This window comes from Homo sapiens, chromosome 3, assembly GCF_000001405.40.
Source record: "Homo sapiens chromosome 3, GRCh38.p14 Primary Assembly".
Classification (NCBI taxonomy): Eukaryota; Metazoa; Chordata; class Mammalia; order Primates; family Hominidae; genus Homo; species Homo sapiens.
In genome coordinates, this window is record NC_000003.12 from 87,205,710 (window position 1) to 87,231,395 (window position 25,686).

The 25,686-nt window shown below is 36.9% G+C and overlaps 1 protein-coding gene and 1 non-coding gene across 4 annotated transcripts in view, besides 5 other annotated features; one reads left to right on the forward strand and one right to left on the reverse strand.

Annotated features, from left to right (window-relative positions):
* MIR4795 (microRNA 4795) lies at nt 20,480–20,568 on the reverse strand. Its single transcript, NR_039958.1, has one exon. It is a non-coding gene; the product is annotated as a microRNA 4795 (primary transcript).
* Nucleotides 21,052–21,191: an enhancer, noted in NCBI's record as "active region_20110". NCBI's record gives its function as "activates an Ori minimal core promoter by ATAC-STARR-seq in GM12878 lymphoblastoid cells {active_cell/tissue: GM12878}" and the evidence as "EXISTENCE:reporter gene assay evidence [ECO:0000049][PMID:35858748]".
* Nucleotides 21,302–21,361: an enhancer, noted in NCBI's record as "active region_20111". NCBI's record gives its function as "activates an Ori minimal core promoter by ATAC-STARR-seq in GM12878 lymphoblastoid cells {active_cell/tissue: GM12878}" and the evidence as "EXISTENCE:reporter gene assay evidence [ECO:0000049][PMID:35858748]".
* Nucleotides 21,452–21,501: an enhancer, noted in NCBI's record as "active region_20112". NCBI's record gives its function as "activates an Ori minimal core promoter by ATAC-STARR-seq in GM12878 lymphoblastoid cells {active_cell/tissue: GM12878}" and the evidence as "EXISTENCE:reporter gene assay evidence [ECO:0000049][PMID:35858748]".
* Nucleotides 21,552–21,621: an enhancer, noted in NCBI's record as "active region_20113". NCBI's record gives its function as "activates an Ori minimal core promoter by ATAC-STARR-seq in GM12878 lymphoblastoid cells {active_cell/tissue: GM12878}" and the evidence as "EXISTENCE:reporter gene assay evidence [ECO:0000049][PMID:35858748]".
* CHMP2B (charged multivesicular body protein 2B) overlaps nt 21,600–25,686 on the forward strand; it is a 28,248-nt gene continuing 24,161 nt past the window's right edge. For all 3 annotated transcript variants that reach the window (NM_001410777.1, NM_014043.4, NM_001244644.2), the window contains exon 1: nt 21,600–21,847. In NM_001410777.1, coding sequence (NP_001397706.1) covers nt 21,845–21,847 — 3 coding nt within the window. In that variant the 5' untranslated portion in view covers nt 21,600–21,844. The remainder of the gene's footprint in view (nt 21,848–25,686) is intronic.
* Nucleotides 21,692–21,811: an enhancer, noted in NCBI's record as "active region_20114". NCBI's record gives its function as "activates an Ori minimal core promoter by ATAC-STARR-seq in GM12878 lymphoblastoid cells {active_cell/tissue: GM12878}" and the evidence as "EXISTENCE:reporter gene assay evidence [ECO:0000049][PMID:35858748]".

Here is a 25,686-nt window from a genome sequence, read left to right on the forward strand (position 1 = left end):
ATTTCTAGCTTAGAAATTGCATGTTGGTTGAGACAAGAAGTAAAATATCTGTTCCTATATTCCTGGAAGAATAAGATAAATAATTGTCAATTACTTTTTAGTGTATCACATATCTTCGTTGTGTGTTCAGATTACATAAGCATTATTAACACTACTGGACATTTTTATTGATTAATTTTAAATTATGCTAGGTCTTCCACTTATGAGTTTGTGTTTTATTTACATTTATATAAAATAAAAAGAAAAAGAAAGAAATAAAAAAACTACCCAAAATATATAGGATCCAAAAACTATGTAAAATAGTATTTTTACTATTTACTAAAACACTAGTCTCGGTACTGAAAGTCTGAATGTGATTACTCTGACACACAGGGAAGGAAGAGTGACTGAGGAGTTGAGCAGGTGGGTCTGAGGGGATGCTCAGAGTGACAGAGTGATTCTGAGCAGCCATTTCATGGCAAAGTTGAATACACGTTGTGACTCATCCAGTTGTACACTGATAATTTGTATATTTTTCTTTATATACTTTACAACATAAAAAAAATTTAAGAAATGTTATGAATCACACATTTATGAATCACACATTTACTGCTTTTGCAGGAAAGATAAAGAAGACAGCCTCAACCCTCAAGCAAGTCAAAGTCTAAAGAAAGATTCAGACCTGCAAACAGATTGCACAACACAATGTGGTAAATGATAAATGACATATATGAGCAGAGTTCTTTACTAACACAGACGAGGAAATAATTAACTATGCCTGGGGAAATCAGAAAAGATTTTATGATAAGTAGCATTTGAACTGGGTCAGGAAGCATTGTAAGGGCTCATATTGCTACAAGTTAGTTACAAAAATGTAATTTAGTTTTGAAGAACAATTATAAATATAGGTTACCTGATCGTCAATCACCTTCAGGTAGCTCAATATTTATTGATTAACACTAAAAAAAATGTGAACCAGATGCAACCAAGTAAAAAAATCCTTGCCTTATTACCCAGAGTTTTATCTAAAATAGTAATAGTAAGCCTGGACATGTGTTTATGCTCCAACTGTGGATGTCTTTGTCATTGAAATGAGCTTTTCTTTTTTTTAACCATGTGACAATGAAAGGCAGAGGGCAACGAGACAATAGAAGAGATGAAACAGTAAAATGTCACATAAATGCTGATGGAGTACATTATGCAAATTGATACTATGCAAATACTTAAATGTAGTCTTAGTAATGAAGAGATATGAAAACATGAAAAAAATTCTTCAAAAATGGTTGCCAATCATCAGTGGCTGATTATGAATACAAAAAACTAACCCTTGAGGAAAAGAGCAATGGCCACATTCTCATTGATCCAAAATTTAACTGGAAGGAGATGCAGGCTCTGAGATACAGAGTCGCAGCAGCATCCATGTTAACAAGAACTGGAGTTCAAAGAGGAATTACTCTCAACCTTGTATACTGGTAAGAGGGTCTGTTTCAGGGAGTGGTGAGAAAACACATTAATTTTAATGAAATAAAAAGTTTGGCTTAGGAATTTCTGTTTTAGTGGAATTGTATTCTTGAGTACTGCTCTTCTCTGTCAAAGCCACTGTTGAATGATATGCTGGAAAAATTACTCAACCAGAAGTAAAATTTCACATTATTTAAAACCTCTATTTACTTTACTATCATTTTAATTTGGGAAATCCTCACTCTTTTTTCTTTAGCAAAACTCTCTCAAGATGGAACACTCAAATTAGTCAACTGTCAGGAGTGCTCTTGTAAGCTTCAACTCTTAAATTGTGGTTTACTCCTCACAGCCACCTAAATTTTCAGACTTTTCAGTGTCTTTCTCCATACTACATATTTTCTTTAACCTCAACTTGGGAATTCAATAATTCATCCTACTCTATTTTGCAGCTCAATGCTGAATTTAACATAATGGCATTTGCCACACTTTCCTGGATTCTCTTGTTTTGTCATCTTTCTGCTACACTCTCAAAACTATTTACTCCCCATGAATCAATACAAGCCCCACCTTTAATCCTCTTTTATGATGGATGTCTCATCCACTGGTAAAGATGAATCACGTTACAGCATCCCTTAGCATTCACACAAAAATGTGTTTTCTACTTTAAACTACATCAATAAGGTGCTTCCTATTACAATTACATTTTTGTCTATTGTTTGAAACATTTGTTCCAAATATTTACTATGCTCTTCAAATTCCCAAGCATATCCCTATCCCACACTGTTGGTAAAGATGCACATCAGTCAAAAATCCCATAACTTCTCTACCAGGCTCAGTTATCCACATCCAGAGCTGCACACCCACTTCTTTTCTCCTTCTCTGTCTCTGAGATCAAACTTCTCCAATTCTCAGAAATCAAACCTTTGACCTATGAACTAGAAATTATATTCTCTTTCCTTTTCTGTTGATCTCACTCCACTAATTATCCTCTTTCTCTTTTGCATTATACAGATTCTCTTTTACTTACCTAATTAAAATAGGTAAATTCTACTCAATCCAAAAACAACTCTGATTCCTTTTTCCAGAGAACAACAAAAACCATATCTCCATGTTACTACCTCCTACAGTTACTGACTTAGCTCCCTTCATGCGCTTTCTCTATTTGGCCAAACTTCTTGAAAGAATACTTTAGACTTCCTTTTATTTGTATCCTAAATTTTTATTTATTTCTTGTAAAGGGGTAAATAGGGAAGCGAAAATCTGGCTTGAGCGTATATAGAAGGCTATAGGTCCTTGGGCAGATTACATAAGTTTTCTAAGTCCCAATTTCCTATTCTATAAAATGTTGTTACCCACTGTGCAAAATTGGTAGAGGAATTGAATAGCATAATATTATAAAACACTTGACACAATACCTGATATAGTATAAATGCCCCATAAATATTATCTATCATTATTCCTTAATATTTTTGTTTTTTTTTTTTTACTATTGTTCTTCAACCCACTATAACCACTTCTGCCCATAAACCCATCCTGCATAATTCTACGGAGTCACCCTTGTGAGAATCACCAACAACCTTGTCAAATCCAATGAACTACATGAAAAGTTTTTGTTCTGCTTTAATACTAATATTTGATGTCGTTAGGTGCTCTTGCCACTTGGAATACTTCCTTTATTTGATGTTTACAATGTCTTCCTCTCTCTTAGTTCTTCCCTCTACTTATTCCTTATTTGTGTCCATTGTTGAATACTTGCTCTTAATGAGCTGCTAAATACTGGATCTCATCAAAGTTCCATCCTTGATTCCATTTTCCTCACTTCCTTGAATGTTCGTTAGGAGAGTTTACTTGAACAAAGCTGATGACTCCAGCTTCACATCTTCCTTGAGCTCCGAACTATTTTCAGTTCTGTGCTGGAGGGCTTCACACAGATGTCTCACATACATACGAAACATAGGATGTCTAGGGTGGAACTCATTTGCATTCCCCTCAAATAATGTGCCTTCTGCAATCTTTATCCTAATTTTCTCTATCTACTAGTCTGCAGTTCTAATTTTGGACCTATCATAACTCAACTGAAATATTCAATTCATTTCTTTTTATCTAGTGGATTTGCACTCCCAGCTTATCTTCCATACAGTTGTCTTCTCAAAAACCAGATATTGGCAGTAAGCCAAGATCGCACCACTGCCCTCCAGCCTGAACGACAGAGTAAGATTCTGTCTCAGGAAAAAAAAAAAAAAATCAAATATTGGCACTACAACATGAATGTACTTAATACTAATGAATTGTACACTTACAAATGATAAATGTTATGTTGTATGTATTTTACTACAATAAAAAAATCAAATAAATAAAGTGGTTCAAATGCTGAGGACATTTAGTGGTCTTTAGTGGTTCCCACTACTACAAGCTCTTCATCATTGCAAATAAGATATTTCAGATAGAGCTCCAGCTCAATTAAGCCACGACATATGCTTTTCTAAAGCTTACAGATTTAAGAATTTTATTTATATTTGCTGAAAGGGCTCTCTTTTCTTTTGTTTCTCTCTCTCTTTTTTTTTTTTTTTTTGAAACAAAGTTTCTCTCTCTTGTTGCCCAAGCTGGAGTGCAATGGCATGATCTCAGCTCACTGCAACCTCCGCTTCCCAGGTTCAAGCAATTCTCCTGCCTCAGCCTCCTGAGTAGCTAGCTGGGACTCCAGGCATGCACTACCACGCCCTGCTAATTTTTGTATTTTTAGTAGAGACAGGGTTTCACCATGTTGGCCACGCTGTTCTCAAGCTCCTGACCTCAGGTGATCCACCCGCCTCAGCCTCCCAAAGTGCTGGGATTACAGGCATGAGCCACCACACCCAGCCTTTTTTCTCTTTTTTTTGAGACAGTCTCCCTGTGTCATCCAAGCTGGATGAAGTGCAATGGTGCAATCATAGCTCACTGCAGCTTCGACCTCCCAGGCTCAAGTAATCCTCCAACCTCAGCCTCCTGAGTAACTGGGACCACAGGCATGCACCACTATGCCTAGATAATATTTTTGTAACTTTTAAAAAATTAATTTTTAATTTTTGTGGGTACATAGCCAGTTTATATATTTGTGAGGTACATGAGATGTTTTGACATAGGCATGCAAGGTGTAATAATCATATCATGGGAAATGGGGTACCCATCCCCTCAAGCATTTATCCTTTGTGTTGAACATAATTCATGTATACTCTTTCAGCAATTTTTAAATCTATAATCAAATTATTTTGACTATAGTCATCCTGTTATGCTATCAAATTCTAGGTATTAATAGTAACATCATGGAGAATGGGGTAGCCATCCCTCAAGCATTTATCCTGTGTGTTTCAAGCTATCCAATTACACTCTTAGTTATTTTTAAATGTACAATGAAGTTATTATTGACTGCAGTCACCCTGTTGTGCTATCAAACAGTTGTAATTTTTGTAAAGACAGGGTTTCACTTTTGCCGAGGCTGGTCTAGAACTCCTGGGCTCAAGCAATCTTCCTGCCTTGGCCTCCCAAAGTCCTGGAACTGGCCAGGCACAATGGCTCACGCCTGTAATCCCAGCACTTTGGGAGGCAGCGGCGGGTGGATCACGAGGTTAGGAGTTCAAGACCAGCCTGGCCAAGATGCTGAAACCTCGTTTCTACTAAAAATACAAAAAAATTATCTGGGTGTGGTGGCACGTGCCTATAATCCCAGCTATTCGGGAAGCTGAGGCAGAGAATTTCTTAAACTGGGAAGGTGGAGGTTGCAGCGAGCTGAGATTGTGCCATTGCACTCCAGCCTGGGCACAGAGTGAGACTCTGTCTCAAAAAAAAAAAAACAAAAAAAAAACTGTGCTGGAATTACAGGCAGGAGCCACCATGCCCAGTGAAAGAGGTCTTTTAGACTCTGAAATATTATTTTAAATTATTTATTACAAAGCTTTTAATTATTTTATGTATACACATAAAGAAAAATGCAAGCAGACTATATCATCTTGGGCAGATTACATGACTTTTCTAAGCTTCAGTTTCAATTGGTTATGAAATTCCTACAATATATTCACAGTCAGAGTCCCACTCTTTTGAATCTCTTTTTGACTCACTCATCACTGACCATGTTTTCCCACCAATTACTATTTGATGCACAGTTATTCCTTATGACCTCACTATTTTCTTCAAGATTTTCATCTTAACTCTGACCCCTGTTCTACAGGTTTTGATACCTGTCACTTTATTAATCTTACCAGAAGATATCAATAGGTATTTTTCTTTTGACAACAAGGACTTACACCCTTTCCCAATGGTCCTTTGATGGTTGGTTGGTTGAAAACTTGGAGATTGCTGTTGTCCACTCTTACTAACAGCAATAACAACTATATAGTTTTGGGTATATTTATTTTTAAACACAGCTGATGTATATCCACTATCTAACTACAACCAAAAAGTGAAATTATGACAAATGTTAAAAGGGGATTGTGCCTGTTTCAGATAACAATAGGCAGTTCATTAGCTCAGTCATTATCCTCCAATTGTGTGTGTATGTGTGCATGTGCACTTGTGTGTGCATGCAAATACAGAATAACATTTTGGGGAAGATATTCTTCAGAAGTATTTTAAAGTCAAAAATTCAACATAGAAGAAATGTTTGGTGATTGGCAGTTATGCAAAGCTTCACAATGATAGCATTGCCTTTCTTCATCTATGTTCATAATATTCAACTTTTTAGTGTCTTTAATATTGACAGGATCATTGTGAGACATATTAAAGAGCTCCAAGATTCACTGGCTTATCCTACTTGACTACACTTATATTTATTGTTTTCCTCAGTTGAATCACATGTTGCTCAAAGTAAAAATGCTACCACTCAATTAGCTGAAAATTTCTGACAAGCTGCTATCAAACACCTTAAAGATAGTCCTGTGCTACAATTGAATTAGTCACACAAGCTTCTCATTTGTTTTGATATTTCATCAATCTACTCTGAGATACACAGCAATTTCCCTTACCTTGGGTTGCATTGCCTTTTATATGATAGCCATTCTTTTTACAAACATCTCAGTAATAAATACGTGAATATCTCATATGTGTGGATCCTATTAAAGCTTTGGTTATTCTTTACAAGAAATTATGGATTTGTATTCATTCCTCCTCTAATGAATATTTGCTTCATTAATATCAAGTCTATGCCCCACTGCTCTGTTTTCATGCTCTTCTAAGTACACAATAACATATTGTTTTAATGCCAAATCAGAGTAATCTTTTTGATGACGTTTTTAGCAATGCACATAACTCAACTTAAGTGACAATAGAATAGCTATAATGGAGTTCCCACATGTGCTGGAAATAACAATTCCATCAAGATTTAGCCAGCAGTGATTGTAAGTTGCCCTCAGCTATTAAAATATTAGAAAAAAAATGTGCTTTACAACAACAAAATATTGTTGATTCCTAGAAAACTCAGAAAAATGAAAATTCCAAAAATTCTTTACTTTTTTCTCAACTGACAATTTCACCCATTTACTTCTTTCTCACTGGATGACTTCCCTTTCTACATTACATAGAGATTAGAGGTGTTATAAGTAAGCTGCTTATGTTCTCATGTGTCTCATCCGGCCTTTGTTCCTTTGCTTACATCTCAAAGGCAAAGATATTCTTTTTCCTTTCCAGGGATAAACTCTCTCTTTTGCTCTTGGACTGGCAAATCTGTGTACATAGCTAACACCCCAGGTGACTGATGAAGGTAGTTTCCAGATCAGTTTAATAAATAATGTTGCTACTATCTTTCCACTGAGAGTTATCATCTTGTTATAAGTATACATAGGCGGCAATATAAGTTTTCTGTTCCTTCTGTTCCCTTCCTTTAAGGTAATCACTATTAGTAGAAAATTGTTTGTCTTTTTGATGTTACACTCAAAAGAATACAGATGTTCTAAACTATTCTAAACTGAGGACACCATGAAACTTTAAAACAAGAGTATTAGTTGCCTTGACTGCAAAATACTCTATTGACTTTAATCCTTTGAGGGTGAGAAGAATAAGAAGAAAGATGAGAGAAAAATCTGTGAATGATAAAAGGTAAAGGTACTTCTGGGCACTCATCGAAGGCTGGTAGACTATGCACTAAAGGGAGCTGTGGATAAAACCTAATACAGTTTCTTACCTTTCTCCATAAGCTATGTGGGTTTGAATCTAATAAATTAAAAGAGAGCTACTGGAGCTATACACACCACCAGACATCATAAGGCACAATGGTGAGGTTATATTTCATTTCAAGTGTCTTGGAAACTATCTACTTCCTTTCATTTTACTCTGAAACTTTTGAAGTGTATTTGATCCTTGCTGCCTCCACTTCCTTTCCCACCATGAGTTGGTCTTTAATTCCATGCATTTTGACTTCCTGTCCCTATATTAATGAAGCTGCATTTCTGAAGGTCATCGGTTATAATTACAAAATAAAATGTCTTTTTCTCCATTTCATATTTTTTATACATTCTGTATGATATTTAACAGTTTTGACTACTCATCCTTGAAATTCTGTTTCCTTCTGACTTTCCTAACACTAAATCAGGGTGGTTTAACTTACTTATTTGTGTTGTTTATTTTTCTTGTAATAAGCTCAAATTTTACAAAAGGAAGAAACTAAGAGAAGTTGGTAAAAGAAGATGGTATATTGAAAGAAAATTCCTACCAGGAAGTCATAAAATGAAATAATTTGGAAACATATAGCTCTCCAACTCTCTATTCCCAAATTGATTTTCTTTAATGCATGGTAAAGGGGTTAAGACAAAAAGGTATTTATCAGGTAAGAAATATTCTCTCAAGCATAAAGACAAGAAAGTGAGCATGTTATCTTTCTCCTATAGGCAAAAGGACATTTAGTAACATGCTTTTAGAAATCACAAACAGAGGTGATTTCTTGATTCACAATAATTTCTTTCATAACTGGATATAGCCCATTACTTAGTGGCTACATCTGTACTCAATGCTTTGTATTCTGAGTGTACCTGAATCAGCAGGGGTAGACATTTGACCCAAATTAGGAATACAGATTTGTTAATCTTGGAATTAGACATTTACAAGGAAGTGACACAAAGGTTTGCTGGGCATTTTATCTGGGTCCTGCTAATAAATATCAGTATCTAGAGAAAAAGAGGAGTTCCTCAAAGTGCTTACAGTTGCCCTAGCATCTCCTCTTCAGATATACAACACAGTGCTCAATCTTTTAATTAAAGGTGTAATTCAATAACAAATACTGCATAAATTTACAGAGATAATCTAGCATTACCTGGTCCCTCATGTAACACTCCATAGGGGAAGGATGTGTTTTTCTCCTTTGTTGTTCCTCATAGGTTTTGGAATGTGCACAAAGTTAAATCGTATGAAAATTTTGGTAATTAAATATTGTTAGAAAATGTTGCTCTTTTCAGGTTAAATCCTTCATAGAGTTTCATTATAAAGTTCAATCCATTTTTTTGTATCTCTTAACCATTTGTTTACCGTCTTGGCTCAGAGAATGCTTGTATGTTCAGAGTTACTTTTTATTTTCTATTCTTTACAACACACCTGTGAGTTAACAAAATATGATTATTCATACTGTACAGATGGTGGGACTAAGGTATAATGCCATCTAAAAGCTTAATAGCAGAGTTGAAACCAGAATTTATGATTCCCCAAACCTCACGTAGAGCAATATTTTCTGTGATATCCCTGCCCTCTCTTTAATGTTCATGAACAAAAGGCTGCATATAATTTCAATTTCAAATCAAAATGCCAACTACATTTTCAGAATGGGTTTGGTCTTTCACTTCAGTACACTAAAGATAATGTTATCAATTATCTTATCAGATCAGGTTACCAAAGATTCTATCAAGCTTTGTTACAGATGTAATGCCAATTCATTTTTTATCATCATAGTTTATTTTAAAGTTTGTTTTTTGCCTATCTCAAAGAGTATGTCAGAAACATAATTCTTGGTTGATTTTAGAAAGTATTATCTTCTGTTTAATTATGCTTCAGTTTAATTCCTTTCTGATTTCTTCTTTGGGGCAGGTTTATTGAAAGCAAGCAGTGATTTCCGGTGGAAATAACGTGTTGAAAATAGCACATGCCATAAAGTACAGTGCTCAATCTTTTAATTAAGGTATAATTCAATAATAAATACTGCATAAGCTTACAGTGAGCATCCGGTATTAGCTGACCGCTCACTTAACAGATACTGAAACACTCTCAAGGGGCAGGATGTGTTTTTCTCCTTTGTTGTTCCTCTTAGGTTTTGAAATGTGCATAAAGTTAAATCATATGAAAATTTTGGTAATTAAATATTGTTAGAAAATGTTTCTGTTTTCAGGTTAAATGCTTAACCCTACATGCCAGGTTTGGAAACCTGTCAGTTTAATCATTCAGAGTAAATCACATCTTATGCCAAGAAACATGAAAATTCAAATTAAACATATTTGACTACTGATAAAGAAAGGACAGAGGAAGAAAAATAATTTGGACTGATATACTTTTGTTCCTTTTTATAAAACAGCTATATATCAATATTAATAAAAAGGTATTTTTCCAAAAACCTGAGTACAGGAAGAAAAGGTATTGGCCTGAGTATGTATTTTACCAATTCCTTTTCTTCTAGGGCCAATTTTGTACTAACTCAGTTAACTGAATACATAGGATAATATATCAATTAATTTACTATAATGCAGAGCAAAATAAATCTTTGCAACATTTATCCTTTAAAATTAAGATTTATTAATGGATTTTCAAAGTTTAGCTTGCCATCCGTGTTGTTCTGACTTTCTTTCTGTCAGTTAATGAAGCGCAGGGGCTAACCTAATTCATATGATTCCCATCTGTCATCTCTGCAGCAGTGATGAAACCCAAAATGAAATTCCATTCTTCATTCAATTCCTGTACCTTGATATTAGTCAGGTAATCAAGCACAACTCCCAGACTCTTGCGTTTTCAGATGAGGAAACTAAGGTCAAGTAACTTGCCCTGGGTCACACAGAAAGACATCATAAGAAAAGGGAACAGATCCAGTAGCCTTGGACTTTCTTAGACATTTCCAAGACCACTGAACCATACTACCTTCCAGGTAATTGCCTTTTGTAACATCAAGTGGGTCACATCTTTTTTTCTTTGTAAGCAGAAACCATCTCTTTTTCTTTCTTATTTTTCTTCTTTTAAACGGGCATGTAGAAATGCTGTTCTCTATTTAGTATTTCTGGTAATTATCTTCAAGAAAATCAGAATACAAATTTAAAGTACTCATTAACATGCTGATTAGGAATTTCTCTCAAAGACTCAAAAGGCTGGAAGAGACCCCCAGAGATCATCTGATCTAGCCCCTGACTTCAGGCATGTTTCACCTAAACAGTTTCAGGCAGATGGAAAACTGTATTTATGACCCCCAAGGAGAGAGTCCCCAGCCTCCCTTGACAACACAACCTTGGGCTTAGATCTGCTCTTCTACATAATGGGTTATGTGCAAAATACAGAAAAAAGAACCTGCCCTCCCTTGTAATGTCAGATATTACTAATACGACTAAGATTATCCATATATGTTTGTATTCAAATATCTTCTTATCTGATCAATATTTCTGATTCTATTTTGGAAAAGTCTTCCTAGTCATTAGGCATTCTTTTACATAAAACCTGTTCTGATTTATTTTTCAATTTGAAATTATATCCTCAAAGATACTGAATGTCGTTACAATTTTAATTGAGTTGAAATGTCTTTTTAGGCTTTTCTGCTTCTGCAATGAAGAATGTATCCCATAGAAATGCTAGTACTTTCTCCCAATCCCTACCCCTTCACGCTAACCAGGATAACTTCAGACTGGGTTTGAGAGAACTGTGAGAACTAAAAACTACTTTTCATGGCTTAGAAATTGTATGATGACATGTTCACATCATGACTTGTCCATGAGAATTGCCTTCCTTACTTTAAATGTAATCTTCATGATCCCAATCCCATTTCTGCTTATGTTTTATCAGAGACTGATCTCATCTTAGACCAATTTTGCTTCAGTCCTAAAATAATTTTCTGTTTACATTAAAATCATACTATTTTTATATGAATGTTAATGAGTGTGTTTCTAAATCTCCACATTGAATGACAGAAAACATTTACTAGGGGAAAAAAAAAAGTTCTTATCCCAAATGTATCTAACAGAATGAGAAGTTTTCCCAAGAGGCTGGCCTCTGATGTTTATACAATCAGCCTCAGTACACTACATAAATTATGCCCTGGGCATTGAAGGTGGTAGAAACATCCTGTCATTTCTTCATATGCCAAAATGTCTGAATGTATCAACAATTTGTACAGATTGCTGAGAGCTTGCCTTCTAGATCTTCTCTCCTCTCCTTTATTTTCTCCTGCTTTATTAAGACAGATCTACAGTACAGGACAAGCATTGGGTTGAAAGCTGGATCTTGCGGGTTCCTAGTTGTAGACCTTCTGCTGAAAAACAGGTGTGCAATTCTGTGAGGTGTGGCAATTCTCTGTTATGTGTCCTGATATACCTATTTGTAAAATGAAGTCCTTATAATAGATGACCTCTAAGGTCCCTTTAGCCTCTAAAATTTTAGCATACATAAATGAACAAATGAATAAATGACAAATGAATAAATGAATGACAATATACAATTATTGAAAATGTTGATCTAGTTCTGCCTAGTTTGTCTTTTTACAATAAAAATTGAATGGCATTTCTCAAATATGCATTTTTAAGACATATTTTTAAAGTCATTTGTATGGGTATTTCAACTAAATTATTGAGTGTCTTAATTACATCTATATTTTTTATTTTTTTTGAGACAGAGTCTATCACACAGGCTGGAGTGCAATGACATGGTCTCGGCTCAATGAAACCTCCACTTCCTGGGTTCAGGCAATTCTCCTGCCTCAGACTCCTGAGTAGGTGGGGGACTACAGGTGTGCTCCACCATGCAGGGATAATTTTTGTGTTTTTAGTAGAGACAGGGTTTCACCACGTTGGCCAGGCTGGTTTCCAACTCCTGACCTCATGTGATCTGCCTGCCTCAACCTCCCAAAGTGTTGGGATTACAGGCGTGAGCCACTGTGCTCAGCCCAAATGTATTTTAATCATAAACTTGATGTAGATTGAATTTTTTTTTTACTTAATATAACAAATATGTGGCTGGGTGCAGTGGCTCACCCCTGTAATCCCAGCACTTTGGGAGGCCAAGGTGGGCGGATCACCTGAGGTCAGGAGATCGAGTCCATCCTGGCCAACGTGGTGAAACCCCATCTCTATTAAAAATAAAAATAAAAAAAATTAGCCGGGCATGGTGGTGCGTGCCTGTAGTCCCAGCTACTAGGGAGGCTGAGGCAGGAGAATCACTTAATCCCAGGAGGCAGAGGTTGTGGTTAGCCAAGATCGCACCACTGCACTCCAGCCTGGGCAACAGAGGAACACTCCGTCTTAAAAACAAAACAATCAAAACAAAACAAAACAAATATGTATTGGATCCTTAGGTGCCAGATATGTGGAGGATAAAAGAAAAAGGCAGTCAGTTACTGAAACATTTAAAATGTGCTGATGGTTAATACCATGAATGCAGCTTTAGCCCCAAATTAAATGTCAATTAAGCAAAATTTTTAGGCTGGATGTGGTGGCTCATGCCTGTAATCTCAACACTTTGGAATGCTGCAGTGAGGGGACTGCTTGAGGCCAGGAATCTGAGAATAGCCTGGGCAACATAATGAGACCCTGTCTCTTAAAAATCAAACAAACAATCAGACAAAAAATCAAAAAACAAATTTAGCTGAGCTTAGTGGTATACACCTGTAGTACCAGCTACTTGGGAGACTGAGGAGGGAGGATTGCTTGAGCCTGGGAGTTGGAGGTTGCAGTGAATTATGATTGCTGCACACAGGAGGAGGTACCATCTCTAAAAACCCCAAAATGATAATATTAATAAATAAATAAAACTTCTATTAAATACTAAAGTGGCTTTACGTATCCACAAAGCAGGCCTTGGAATAAAGTATTAAACCAAGTCTGTTCCAATGAAAAATGTCATGTCAGGATTTGTACAATTCATCTTTCCTAGAAATCTTCTAGGGTTGATCTGAGAAAACATCAGGAGTCCTTCTGCCAAATGAAAGCCAATTAGGTCAATATTTTGAACATGTCTAACCATAATGGACAATGATAGCAAAGGACAGCATATTCGTGTCAATAATGTCAACAGTGACCTTAATAAACATATGGAAGATGTTAGGTACCATTGAGAAAGCAATCTGCAACTGGAATAGCCCAAAGAATATCATGTAGGGCCAATGAATATATACTTTATTTAAAAACTTAGTCTTATCTATGGTAGGCAGAATGTTGTCCCTCAAATATGTCCACATTCTAATCCCTGGAACCTGTAAATATATCATGCTACATGGCAAGGGGGAATTAAGATTACTGATGCAGTCAAGGTTGCTAATCTGCTGACTTTAAAATAAGGAAAATATCAGATAATATTTGAGTGGGTCCAATGTAATCCAAGAGTCCTTAAATGTGGAAGAAGAAAGCGCAAGAAAGTCAGAGTCAGAGAGAGATCTGAAGATGATAGGCTGCTGCTGTTGAAGATGAGAAAGGGGCAAGTAGCTAAAAGAATGCCGTCAGCTGCTGGTTGCTAGAAAAGGCAGGAAACAGATTCTCCCCAGAATTTCCAGGAGTGCAGCCCTGATGAATCATTGACTTTATCTCAGTGAGACCCATTTCATACTTCTGGCTTTCATAACCATAAAATGATACATTTGGGATTTTTAAGCCACTAAATTTGTAAAAATCTAGTAGAGCAGCAATAGGAAATTAATACAGCATCCTTCTGTCCCCAAATGAGGGACAACATCCAAGAGAGTTGGGAGAAACAATGTCTGAACAATCTCTCTTATAAATCAATATCCTCTCCCACCTAAAGTCAAAATGGTTCTTAAGACTCTCCACACCTCTAAATGAAGCAGATGTTGACACAGTAACTGTTGTAATCCATAAAGTCTGTTTTGACATGATAATTCAACTTGTTATTCTAAAGTACAAAGTTAATCCTCTTAATACAAGGTACTTTGCCTGTGTGATTAGTTGTCACTATATTAGTCTGGTTTCATGCTGCTGATGAAGATATACCTGAGAGTGGGAAGAAAAAGAGGTTTAATGGACTTACAGTTCCACATGTCTGGGGAGGCCTCACAATCATGGTGGAAGGCAAGGAAGAGCAAGTCACATCTTACATGAATGGCTTCAGACAAAGAGAGAGAGCTTGTGCAGGGAAACTCCCCTTTTTAAAATCATCAGATCTCATGAGACTTATTCACTACCAGGAGAACAGCACTGGAAAGACTCACCCCCATGATTCAATCACCTCCCACCAGCTCCCTCCCACAACACATGGGAATTATGGGAGCTACAATTCAAGATGAGATTTGGGTGAGGACACAGCCAAACCATATCAGTCACCATCCAAAATAGATTCTCCTTATTTTGGTAAAGACCCTGTCTTAATACTTCTTTATAACTCTTCATGCAATGTATAGAATAGGTCATCACTAAATATGATTATTCAATGCATTATCACAAGGAACACTTAAAAGTGAGTCTCAGGTAAAGAGCCATCCCACCACAGGTATAAATACATATTATTGACAAAATTCCAACACACTGAATGTGTAGGTCTTTGTTTATGAATAGTTGCCTAAACATTTTATAATATAAAAGTAATATTCAAATTCTAACTTTTTATTGCATTCTTTTAAAATGGTGGTTAGTAGCCAAAATTGTAATTCTCACAAATAAATTAGAAACTGCAAGTATGGATAAGCAATTTTCATATTAAACTCTTGAAAATATGATACAATATTCTTCCAGAGTGTGAACATTATACACATTCAGATATTACTTTTCATTACTGCTGCATCTATCAATAAATTCATGGTTATACATTTTAGATATTCTTATATCTAAAAATTATTTTTAAAATTGTTTCAGTTTTTCATCTGATCTTAGGCATGTTTGAGCTTCTGAACTACTTCTTGTATATAGGAGAAACAAATTTAAGTGAAGGTATTTTTTTAATGGGGATATATTTTAAAATATAATAAACTATAGCCCAATTATTGACAATATTTCTAAACAAAATTTCTACTCAGAAATTCAATCATTTATGTAATTTTGTTAGTGACTCCAAGTTGTATAGCTATCTATGGCATCTTGTAATTTAATTCTTGTTGTAGACTTTTTAATTTCTTTGGACTTTTAACTTCTTTGGAACAGATTCATGTATAGATCATTCATAGATTCCTCAGAGTGAGGAATCTCTCTAGCACTACACATTTCATATAGTAGTTGCTCTATAAGGATTTGTTAGATGACTAAATTAAAAAATGCATAGAAGACCATATAAATGTAGCTTGAAATGGTGATTATAAAAAGGCCACCTTATTTGTATGGAAAACGTAATGCCATTGTTTTAGTAAATTATTCATACTTAGTAATAAACATCCAGCCAGCACCTCTCTTAATTCCTATTCATTTAAAACATAAAGTGGGATAGCTATTACAGTTTTATTTTATTTTATTGAAGAACCAAATCCATTACTCCCATACTTACGTTTATTTCTATTTTGTATGGGAGTAGCTCTGCACTCCACAGTCCTTATTGAATTGAAGAGCAAATATATACATATGCTGTGTTGTGCCAGGGGGCACAAATTCTGCTTTGATTTACTCATGTGAAACTCCTATTAACACTGTGAGGAATTCAGGGCAAAGTTTAGTTTATTTTTCAAGAAGGATCATGTTGTTACATATTCCAAATAACACATGAAGTCTTTTAGACTTTAAAACCAATGATGTGCAGCCATACACATTTCGGGTACTCATTTAGCTTTCCATTGACTAAGTCTCTGAATAGTCTCACCCATTCTTTATGGCACATAGTTTTAAAAGCAAGATTTGACAAAGAGGGAAATGTGCTGAGTTCCTGGAGCTATTAAAGTATAAATGTAAAAATTATGAAAAAATTCCAAATTTAAGGCTTACATACTGAAACATGAAAATAATGTTCCATGCGTTATTTGGTAAGAAATATACAAAAATTATACATGTGTTTAATTTGTTGATTGTTGTCATTTAGTCAGCTAGAATAAGTGCTGCCTACTTGCTCTGAATTTGGATAAGTTGAGAGAAGGGAATGAAGACAGAAAGGGAAGATATAGCAGAATTTCCTTCTAGTTAACCCTCTCCTGAAACCAGACCTTCCTCCGTGAGTAAGTGTGGAAAGTAACAATCTTAGACAGGTCAACACTCTTTTCACTGTCCTGCCCCTGAGCAAATACAACCTACCTGGATACCATCTCAAGAAAACTGACAAACAGCTTACATTGCTGGTTATAGGGTCTGAACACTCAAAGAGTCTGTCTTCACATATTCTGGCTGAACACCTTACTAACTATAAAATTTGGGGAAACCATTTTATTTCTGTATTGATTGCTTACCTCTTATTATGGGCTGAATGTTTGTGTCCCCCCAAAATTTAAATGTTGAAACATAATTCATATTGTGCTAGTACTAAGAGGTGGAGCTTTTGGAGGTGTTTAGATAATGAAGGCTCCACTCTTATCAATAGAATTACTGCCCTTACAAAAGAGGTATGAGGAAGCTTATTGATACGGTTTGGCTGTGTCCCCACCCAAATCTTATCTTGAATTATAGTTCCCATAATTCCCACGTTGTGAGAGGGAGCTGGTGGGAGGTAATTGAATAATGGGGGCAGGTCTTTCCCCTGCTGTTCTCATGATAGTGAATAAGTCTCACAAGATCTGATGGTTTTATAAAGGGAATTTCCCCTGCACACGTGCTCTTGCATGCCACCATGTAAGATGTGACTTTGCTCCTCCTTGCTTTTGGTCATGATCGTGAGGCCTCCCCAGCCATGTGGAACTGTGAGTTCTCTCTTCTTTATAAATTACCCAGTCTCAGTTATGTCTTTATTCGCAGCATGAAAATGAACTAATACACTTATTCATTCCTCTAGCCATGTGAGGACACACAGAAGGTGATATCTATGAAAAACAGTCCCTCACCAGATGTGGGACCAGCTAGAACCTTTATTTTGGACTTCCCAACCTCCAGAACTGTGAACAATAAATCTGTTTATAAATTACCCACTCTAAGGTATTTTGCTATAACAGCCTGAATAGATGAAGTCACTTATAAGAAATGAGATATTTTAGACTTGAAAAATGATGATTCTCTCTGTGCTAAGCTTCTACATATCTCTAAAAAATTTTTCAATGTTATATAGGTTAATGTTTTATTCTTAATTTTGTTTATGATAATCATGTAGCATCATGATAGTCACTGTAGCATTATTAAATATAAAGCAGAATACAGTGTAGTTAGTGAAATAGCAAAACAGCTTAAAGTATGCTCAAATTTGAATCCATGTGAAACATGAAACAAATGAGTTGATGTTTTCGCTAAATCCTTACATACATACAGAATTATTTATTGACTTTTAGGTTCTCTAGATCTCTACTGTTGTTCATGGAGATAGATAATGTTAGCTGCTTTTCATATATAAAGAGACTTGAAGTTAAATGTGTCAAATCAACAAAAATGTACCAAATGTATATATATATACTTGTCATTTGGCGTTAAAACATTGAAACATGGATAATATGAAAATACGATTGCATATTAAGTTTCTATTAAATATATTTACATTCTAGTAGGAAAATTATTGAAGGGCCTGACAAGAGATTCTCTCTGAACCCAAGGAGTTTAAAATTGAAGCTGAGGAGAAAAGACAAACAGAAACAAATCTGCACCGAATCCTTCCAGTACCAATGTTAGATACATATTTCTATAACAAGTCAATTCCTACACAAATAACAGATTTAAGAACAAGAAAACCATTATCTTATTATTTATTTGTTTATTTTACTTTAAGTTCTGGGATACATGTACAGAACGTGCACGTTGGTTACATAGGTCTTCATGTGCCATGGTGGTTTGCTGCACCCATCAACCCATCATCTAGGTTTTAAGCCCCACATGCATTAGGTATTTGTCCTAATGCTCTCCCTCCCCTTTCCCCCCACCCCCTGACAGGCCCTGGCATGTGATGTTCCCCTCCCTGTGTCCATGTGTTCTCACTGCTCAACCCCCACTTATGAGTGAGAATATGCAGTGTTTGGTTTTCTGTTCCTGTGTTAGTTTGCTGAGAATAAAACCATTTTTTTATTAAGGAGAAAGAAATGGGCTAATTTGGGGAGGTGGTGGCTGTTAAGGTGAAGGTAACCAAGATCAGCATCAGAAAGCCTAAATCTTCAATTTGTGTTTTCTGTACTACAGAGAAGAGAATTTCAGCATGAAGATTACTTGAGAAAGCATAAAAAGGTAAAACAGCTGGAAACAACAATACAGATAATACAAAAATGATTATTATGTGATATGGTGTGAATGTACCCCCCAAAAATTCATATGTTGAAACTTAATCACTAATGTGATAGTTTTTAGAGGTGGGAACTTTAGGATGTGATTAAGTCATGAGGGTGGAGCCCTCATGAATGAGATTAGTTCCTTTATAAAACAGGTGTGAGGGAGCTGCCTACCGCCCTTTTACCCTTCTGTCCTTCTTGCCATGTGAGGATACAGCATCTCTTTCTTCTTGAGGATGCAACAGCAAGGTACCATCATGGAAGCAGAAAGCAGCTCTCACCAGAAACAAAACCTCTGGGTTCCTTGATCTTGGACTCCCCAGCCTCCACAAATGTGAGAAATAAATTTCTACTGTTTATAAATTACCCAGTCTGTGGTATTTTGTTGTAGCTGCACAGAGGGGCTAAGACATTACGTGCCAAGCACTACTTTGAATGTTTAACATATTAACTCATTTAATCCTTGCAACAGCTATTAGGTTGGTGCAAAAGTAACTGTGGTTTTCGCCAATTACTTTTGTACCAACCTAATATATGAAAGGTGGGCTAATGTTATCTCTATCACATATGTGATGAAAGAAACACGGAGAGCTTCAGTGAACTGGCCTAGGTCTTAAAACTTAAAAGTCACAGAATTGGTCACAGAACTGGGCAGTCTGTGTCCAGAATCAGCACTCTCCAATGTTATGCTATCTTTCTTCAAAAGCTGAACAAGGAGAAGAATGCACCCATTCAAATTATAACCCGAGGTACCCAAAGATGAAAAAATGGCAAATATTTCAGTTTCAGAGGAGGAAACTATGTTATGAAATACTCCAGAAAACAACATATATTTAAGTGTATCATGCCCTTTAAATAAGGAGCGATATAATAATACAAAATGTGTACAGGAGAAATGTGGCCACCAACTAATCAGAATGGACTCTAGCTAGACTGGTGCAATCAGCTGAATATCAGCCTTCTTCAAACTATGGGAGAACAAGCTATTAGAGTACTGAGTTTAAATAGTAAATATTTCTATTTTGTCTTTATTGTAATGAACAAGCCCTGTCTTTAGCTCCTGCTGTGCACTTTTGGAGGGTCTTCCATATGGTTGCTCCTAAGTATTTTGGCATTTTCCCAACTGTTACAATTGGGTCAGTGGGGGGGATTGTATAGGAGTAATAAAACAAGGGTGACTGCAGCAGGGAGGAGTACGATTACTACACACATAACAGCTTATTGCCTCTCATGCGTTCAAGCACAGCTCTATGCCATTCATTACAACAGACAGCCAGGGCAAACTGCCATAGAGCTCACTCCAGAAAAGGCCCGGTCTTGAGTGCAGAGACTAAATCTTCTCACTTACATGTCTTCCTAATGTTTCCTTACTTCATCTTCCCATATCGAGAATAACTTGAGGAGAAGCAAAACAATTATATCTTGCATATTACTACGTCATTCTTAAGAAAGTTTTCTTGAACAGACTCTCAGCTAACTTTTAGCAGCAGCAGCAGCATTATCAGTGGCTATGAGGGCTTGGATATCTCAGGAGGGGAAAAATGGGAAAGGCTGGCCTGATTATCATAAATAATAATCCTTGAGACATGATTCATAAATCCAGAAGTGGCTAATAATATTGACATTATTGTTATAGTGTCAATATTATTAGCCACTTCTGGATTTCTTCCATATCAGAGATAATATTTATGAAAAAAAAAATGCTACCATTATTTTTATCCTGTGGAAGGCAGTGTTGCTTTAAACAGTAGAGACTATATACAGGTACGCACGCATAGGTTGTATTTTCCATTTTATACATGCAAGGATTCTTTAAATAATTCATTACATTTTTTCTTTAACATGATATGCAGTTTTTCACAAAAAGCCCAAATAAACGGCTGTGAGGAATTCTAATAGGATCACCGTATAGCCATGACACTTTATGATTCATGATTTACAAGAAATTAAGAAATAGAGCTGGAGACATTTAGACCAGCCTACAAATTTGTGTGTGTGTGTGTGTGTGTGTGTGTGTGTGTGTGTTTTAATGTTTCCAGGCAAGAACCTTAAACAAAAAGTGTAGCATTAAAAAACTTCCCTTCGTCCTCGAGACCCCCCCAACTCTAGACACTGGATCCCCGGAGACCCACGCTGGGTCGTCGGAGTCTGGAGCCGGGGGCGGCAGGTGAGCGGCTAGGGTCCTGCAGGGGTCTGCGCGGTGCGGGGGAGGTCGCCGAGTCAGTCAGTGCCGAAAGGACCGCGAACTCCAGGGGCCAACAATCACCGGGTACGGAACTCAACGTTTCCGCCAGTTCCTGGATTACTCGAGTAAAAACAAACAAACAACAACAACAACAACAACAAAAATACTAACAGCAATGGGACCGTAATAAATCAACTCGGAGTGGGTACAGGCGGTTCCGGGACAACCCACACTTAGTCTAGGAGCCCGGAGATCCCTCATCCAGCTTTCCCCGGGGCAAGGGGTGAAGCGCTAAGCAAGGCTGATCACTGTCCTCAATCATCACCCAACCCGCGCACAGAAGCCGTGGCCCCACGCTCTCCTATCCCCGCCAGCTCCAGACTCGCCCCGCTGCCAACTCCCGGTGCAGGAGGAACTGGCAGCCGCAGACGTGAGGAAAGCGGCCGCGGCTTCAAACTCCGTAGTGCGCAGGCGCCACACAACGCGCAGGCGCCGCCTAGAAGTGACTTCTCCAAAAAGTGTGTTAGTTCCCGGTCACCTGAGCTCCGGGTGACGCGGCTGCGGTAGCTGCGGATACAAGCCTTCCGCGGGTCCTGCCTGGCGACCCCGACCTCCTCCTGCTGTCTCTCCGCTCCGCCACCCCGAACCCGCCAAGGTCCTGTCCTTTTCCTCCTGTCCTTTGCCAGCGTTGGGCCGGACCGGGCCGAGCCGGGCCGCCCGGGCGCAGTCTTTAACCATGGCGTCCCTCTTCAAGAAGAAAACCGTGGATGGTGAGTTCCAGGCCGGGCTGAAGGGGCCCAGCTCTGCGTTTTCTCGGCGTCTTTCGAGGCCTGCTGGCCGCGATTCTGCCTACTGTCCCTGGAGGCGGGGCTGGATCAAGTGGTCCCACAGGTGACCGCCCTCGCGGCACCACTTCTCTGCCTCCCTCTTGCTTCTGACTCACCTCACCTTAGGCTCACCTAGGCAGTCTGGTTGCTTCCCTATCCTCACGATTCCCCCACCCTCGGGTTTTCCTCAGCAGGATCCTGAGCGTTTCGAGGAGGCTAGCTGGCCCTTGAGTGTCAATAAACTTGGAAATCTGATGGATTTCTTGTTGGTTTCCTCTGCTTCGATTGTTGCTCTTCAGTTGGGCGATATACTACTTGTAGGCATCCATACAGGAAACTGGCAGTCTCGGAATGGGGAGGGAGGGGATAACAGGCTCCAGTTAGGAAATGAAGTTGGGTCTGGGTCAGTTGCTTCTTTAAGAACACCCCATCAGTAAAGAGATGTGAAACAAATGCTTTTTTGATTAACCCCAGTAGAAAAATAAACCCAAGGGAAGTGCCCAGATTTAGTTTTCATAATGGATTTTTCTCCCTTATGATTATTTTTTGCCAACTAAAGAAAGAGATGGGGTATATATTGTCTTCATAGAAGTTTAACATGTAAAGATAATTGTGTTGTTTCCCGCATTTAGCTTAATATCATCTTAAGCGGGGAAAAAAGTGAATGTAAAGGAATGTACAAGTTTTATGGTGCTCATATGCGATGCCTATAATGTGTTTATATAACACTTGATGTTTTCATTGATTGCTACCAGGAATTAAATTCATTCAAGTTATTTAAAAATTGTGTTCCCCATTATATGTTTAGTCTAGGTTGTTGCTGGTTCAACCAAAGAATCACTTCTTTGTAAGGGTCTAATTCTGCCACAAAAGGAGCAGTGGTAGCTAGACAGTGATTGGTACAAATAGGGTGCTCAGTCCAGACCTGGACGTAACTCCTTCATTCCTTTGTGTTGACTATTCCAATGCCAGCAAAATTATTTTGGGGAGGATAACAAAGAAGTCATCTCTGCTCTGCTGCTGTACACTTCATTTCAACACATAATCTACTTTACCTCTAATTTATCAGATGACATAATACATTTTTCCTTACTCTGGGTGACTGAACATTTTTTTGATTTATTGACTTTTTATTAAGTACCATTTGCAATACCTGGAATAACTACCAACTTCGTATATTAGGTGATACAGTGATGTGAAATGGATTTTATGTGTGCTTTTCATGAGAATGCTGCTTAATCTTTAATATGGCACTTTATTTTTTCAGTGTTTTAGCTGCCACTGTTGTGAGCTTCACTTATTTTACAGTACTCCAGGGAGTGGGGGTGGGGGAACGATTTATTTTCTTTTTGCTTGAGTTTTATATAGTTACAGTTTTTTTTTGTTGTTTAGTTTTATATAGTGAGAATTTACTAAATGGAGAAAAAATGGTTTCATCTCCTTTACTGTGATGTTACAATTAGAGTTAATTTTTTTTTAACAATAAAAGCCAAGCATACTAGTTTTAATCGCCTAATACCTGTCAAATATTTTCAAAGACATAAATCTCAGTTCTGTGCTTCCTGGTGCTTTTGGAAATTTAGTGACTATTGTACTTGAAGTGTAGAGGAGAGAAAAAAAGACAATGGGGATGTGCAATGAGTGTTTAACTGTATACTCATTTGCAGTTAATTCTTCCAAGAAATAATGTTTTTGCTGAATAGACTTATTTGTAAAAGAGTCTTAAGGACTCTTGCTAGGAACTATGCCACTAAATTAACCATATGTGCAATTTCCAAATGTAAATTTGGCCAGCAGGTACATTTACTATAAACTACCAAGATGCATACTTGATGTTTTCTTATATTATTGTGTCAATTCCAGTCATTTACTGACATCTTAATAAATAGATCTGTATTTTCGTTATTTTGATATAGAGCTTTACTTTTTTTATTCCCTGTTTTATTGAAAGGAAGTTTTTTTTTGTTTTGTCTAAAAGGTGACAGCATTCTTCTTGGTAATGAGGCTGTATATTATGAATATGAAGTTTAATGTATTTTTATGTCTCTCAGATCGTTGGATTGATCATGAGCTCTTTTATTGTATGCTGACTTTTAAATCTGTTCCAGCAGTAATGAAATTCTGATATATAAGGGAAACATGTACCTGCCTATAGATCTGGGGAATAATTGAATCTTTTTTCCTGTTTGGATTGGCTGGAAGAGTTATATACTGTATCATTAAAGACTACTGCACATGTAAATTTAAAAGGAAGACAACATTACAGCACTTATTACTATTCAGAGTTATGTTTAATTCATTTTGACACAAAGATGAACAAGTCTCTGCGGTGTATACTTTGCTGTAGAAATTAATGAGAGGTATACCTCAAGAGAAGGGAAGGATTCTTTGGAATTTGAAATTACAGTTGAGTACTACTTGGTTTTTCTTTTACCTGTGTAAGGATATACATATATATAGTGTGTTATGTTTACCTACAGTGTTTATTTTCCCCCTTTGTAGATTAATAGTGACCTATTTAGGGAAGCTAATTATGAACCTGTAAATCAGGATCCCACTAGGACTTGTCACAAATGCACAACTAAACATGCTTAAAAGTGAAGTTCTTTAAACACTATATAATTTTTGTCTGTTAACCTCAGTAAAGACAAATTTGACTAAGCCAACACTGTGCTAAGCATTGTGCATGCCATGTCTTATTTCTCATAAAACATATAAGTACTCATATAACATCCTTATAAAATGAGAAAAGCAAAGGACTAAGTCGTGTGTTCAAGATCATACAGCTATTAAGTGTCAGAACTAGGACCTCATCCCTTTGAGTATTATTATTACTTTTTTCTTATTAGAGATTGATACATGACACAGTTTAATTTTGCTCTTATCAAGCACATGGAATTCTCAACTTTTGGTAGATACCATGCAACGTTTACATTCTTTCTGGAACCAGACTTTTCTTTCGGAATTAGTGGTAGAACTTTACTTTCTAATGGTGGTGGAACTGGAAATAACCCACTCCTGACTCTCCCTGGACACAGCATTTCTTCGAAAGTATGGCCAGTTTCTTTTTGCTTTTCATCTAAACCTTTTGAAGGAGTAGTGATGTCTTATCTCCACTTCTTTACTTAACAGACTGCCTCCCCCACCTTACAGCAGTTTGCCTTGCATGGCATGCAATGAGATGTTGCTTAGATCATCAGTAACTTCTAGATTGTCAAATCTAATGGCCATTATTAGTGAACATCTCTTGGGCCTATGTTTTGCATTTGATCCTGATAATTAATTTATTCTCTGAAATTCCCTCTCTTAACTTCCAAGACATAGCACTCTCTTAATTTTCCTCAAATTCCTCTGACCACTCCTTTCTTTCTCCTTTCTGTATTTATTTTTTTTTCTTTTTCTTAAACCTACCCATTATATGTTAGTGTTCTTCTTGGTTCCTTCCTACGCTACCACTGTTCTAACTGCATTCTCTCCCTGCATGATCTTATTTACTCCTATTTTAATTGTAACTTAAGTACTGATGGATCCCAAATTTGTGTCTCTAGATGTGTTTTTGAGTTTCAGGCCAGATATCCAACAATTTGCTGAATATCTGTACCTAGGTGTCTCACAGTACCTCAAACTCAAGACCCCAAACAGAACTCATCATCATATCCTTTGAGGTATCCTCTTCCAGTGTTGACAGTGCTTGATGTTGCCTTCTACCATCAACTAATTACCAAGTCATGCTTCTTTCGCTTCTTAAATATTGGACACATAGGATCTTCCTCTCTGTGTTT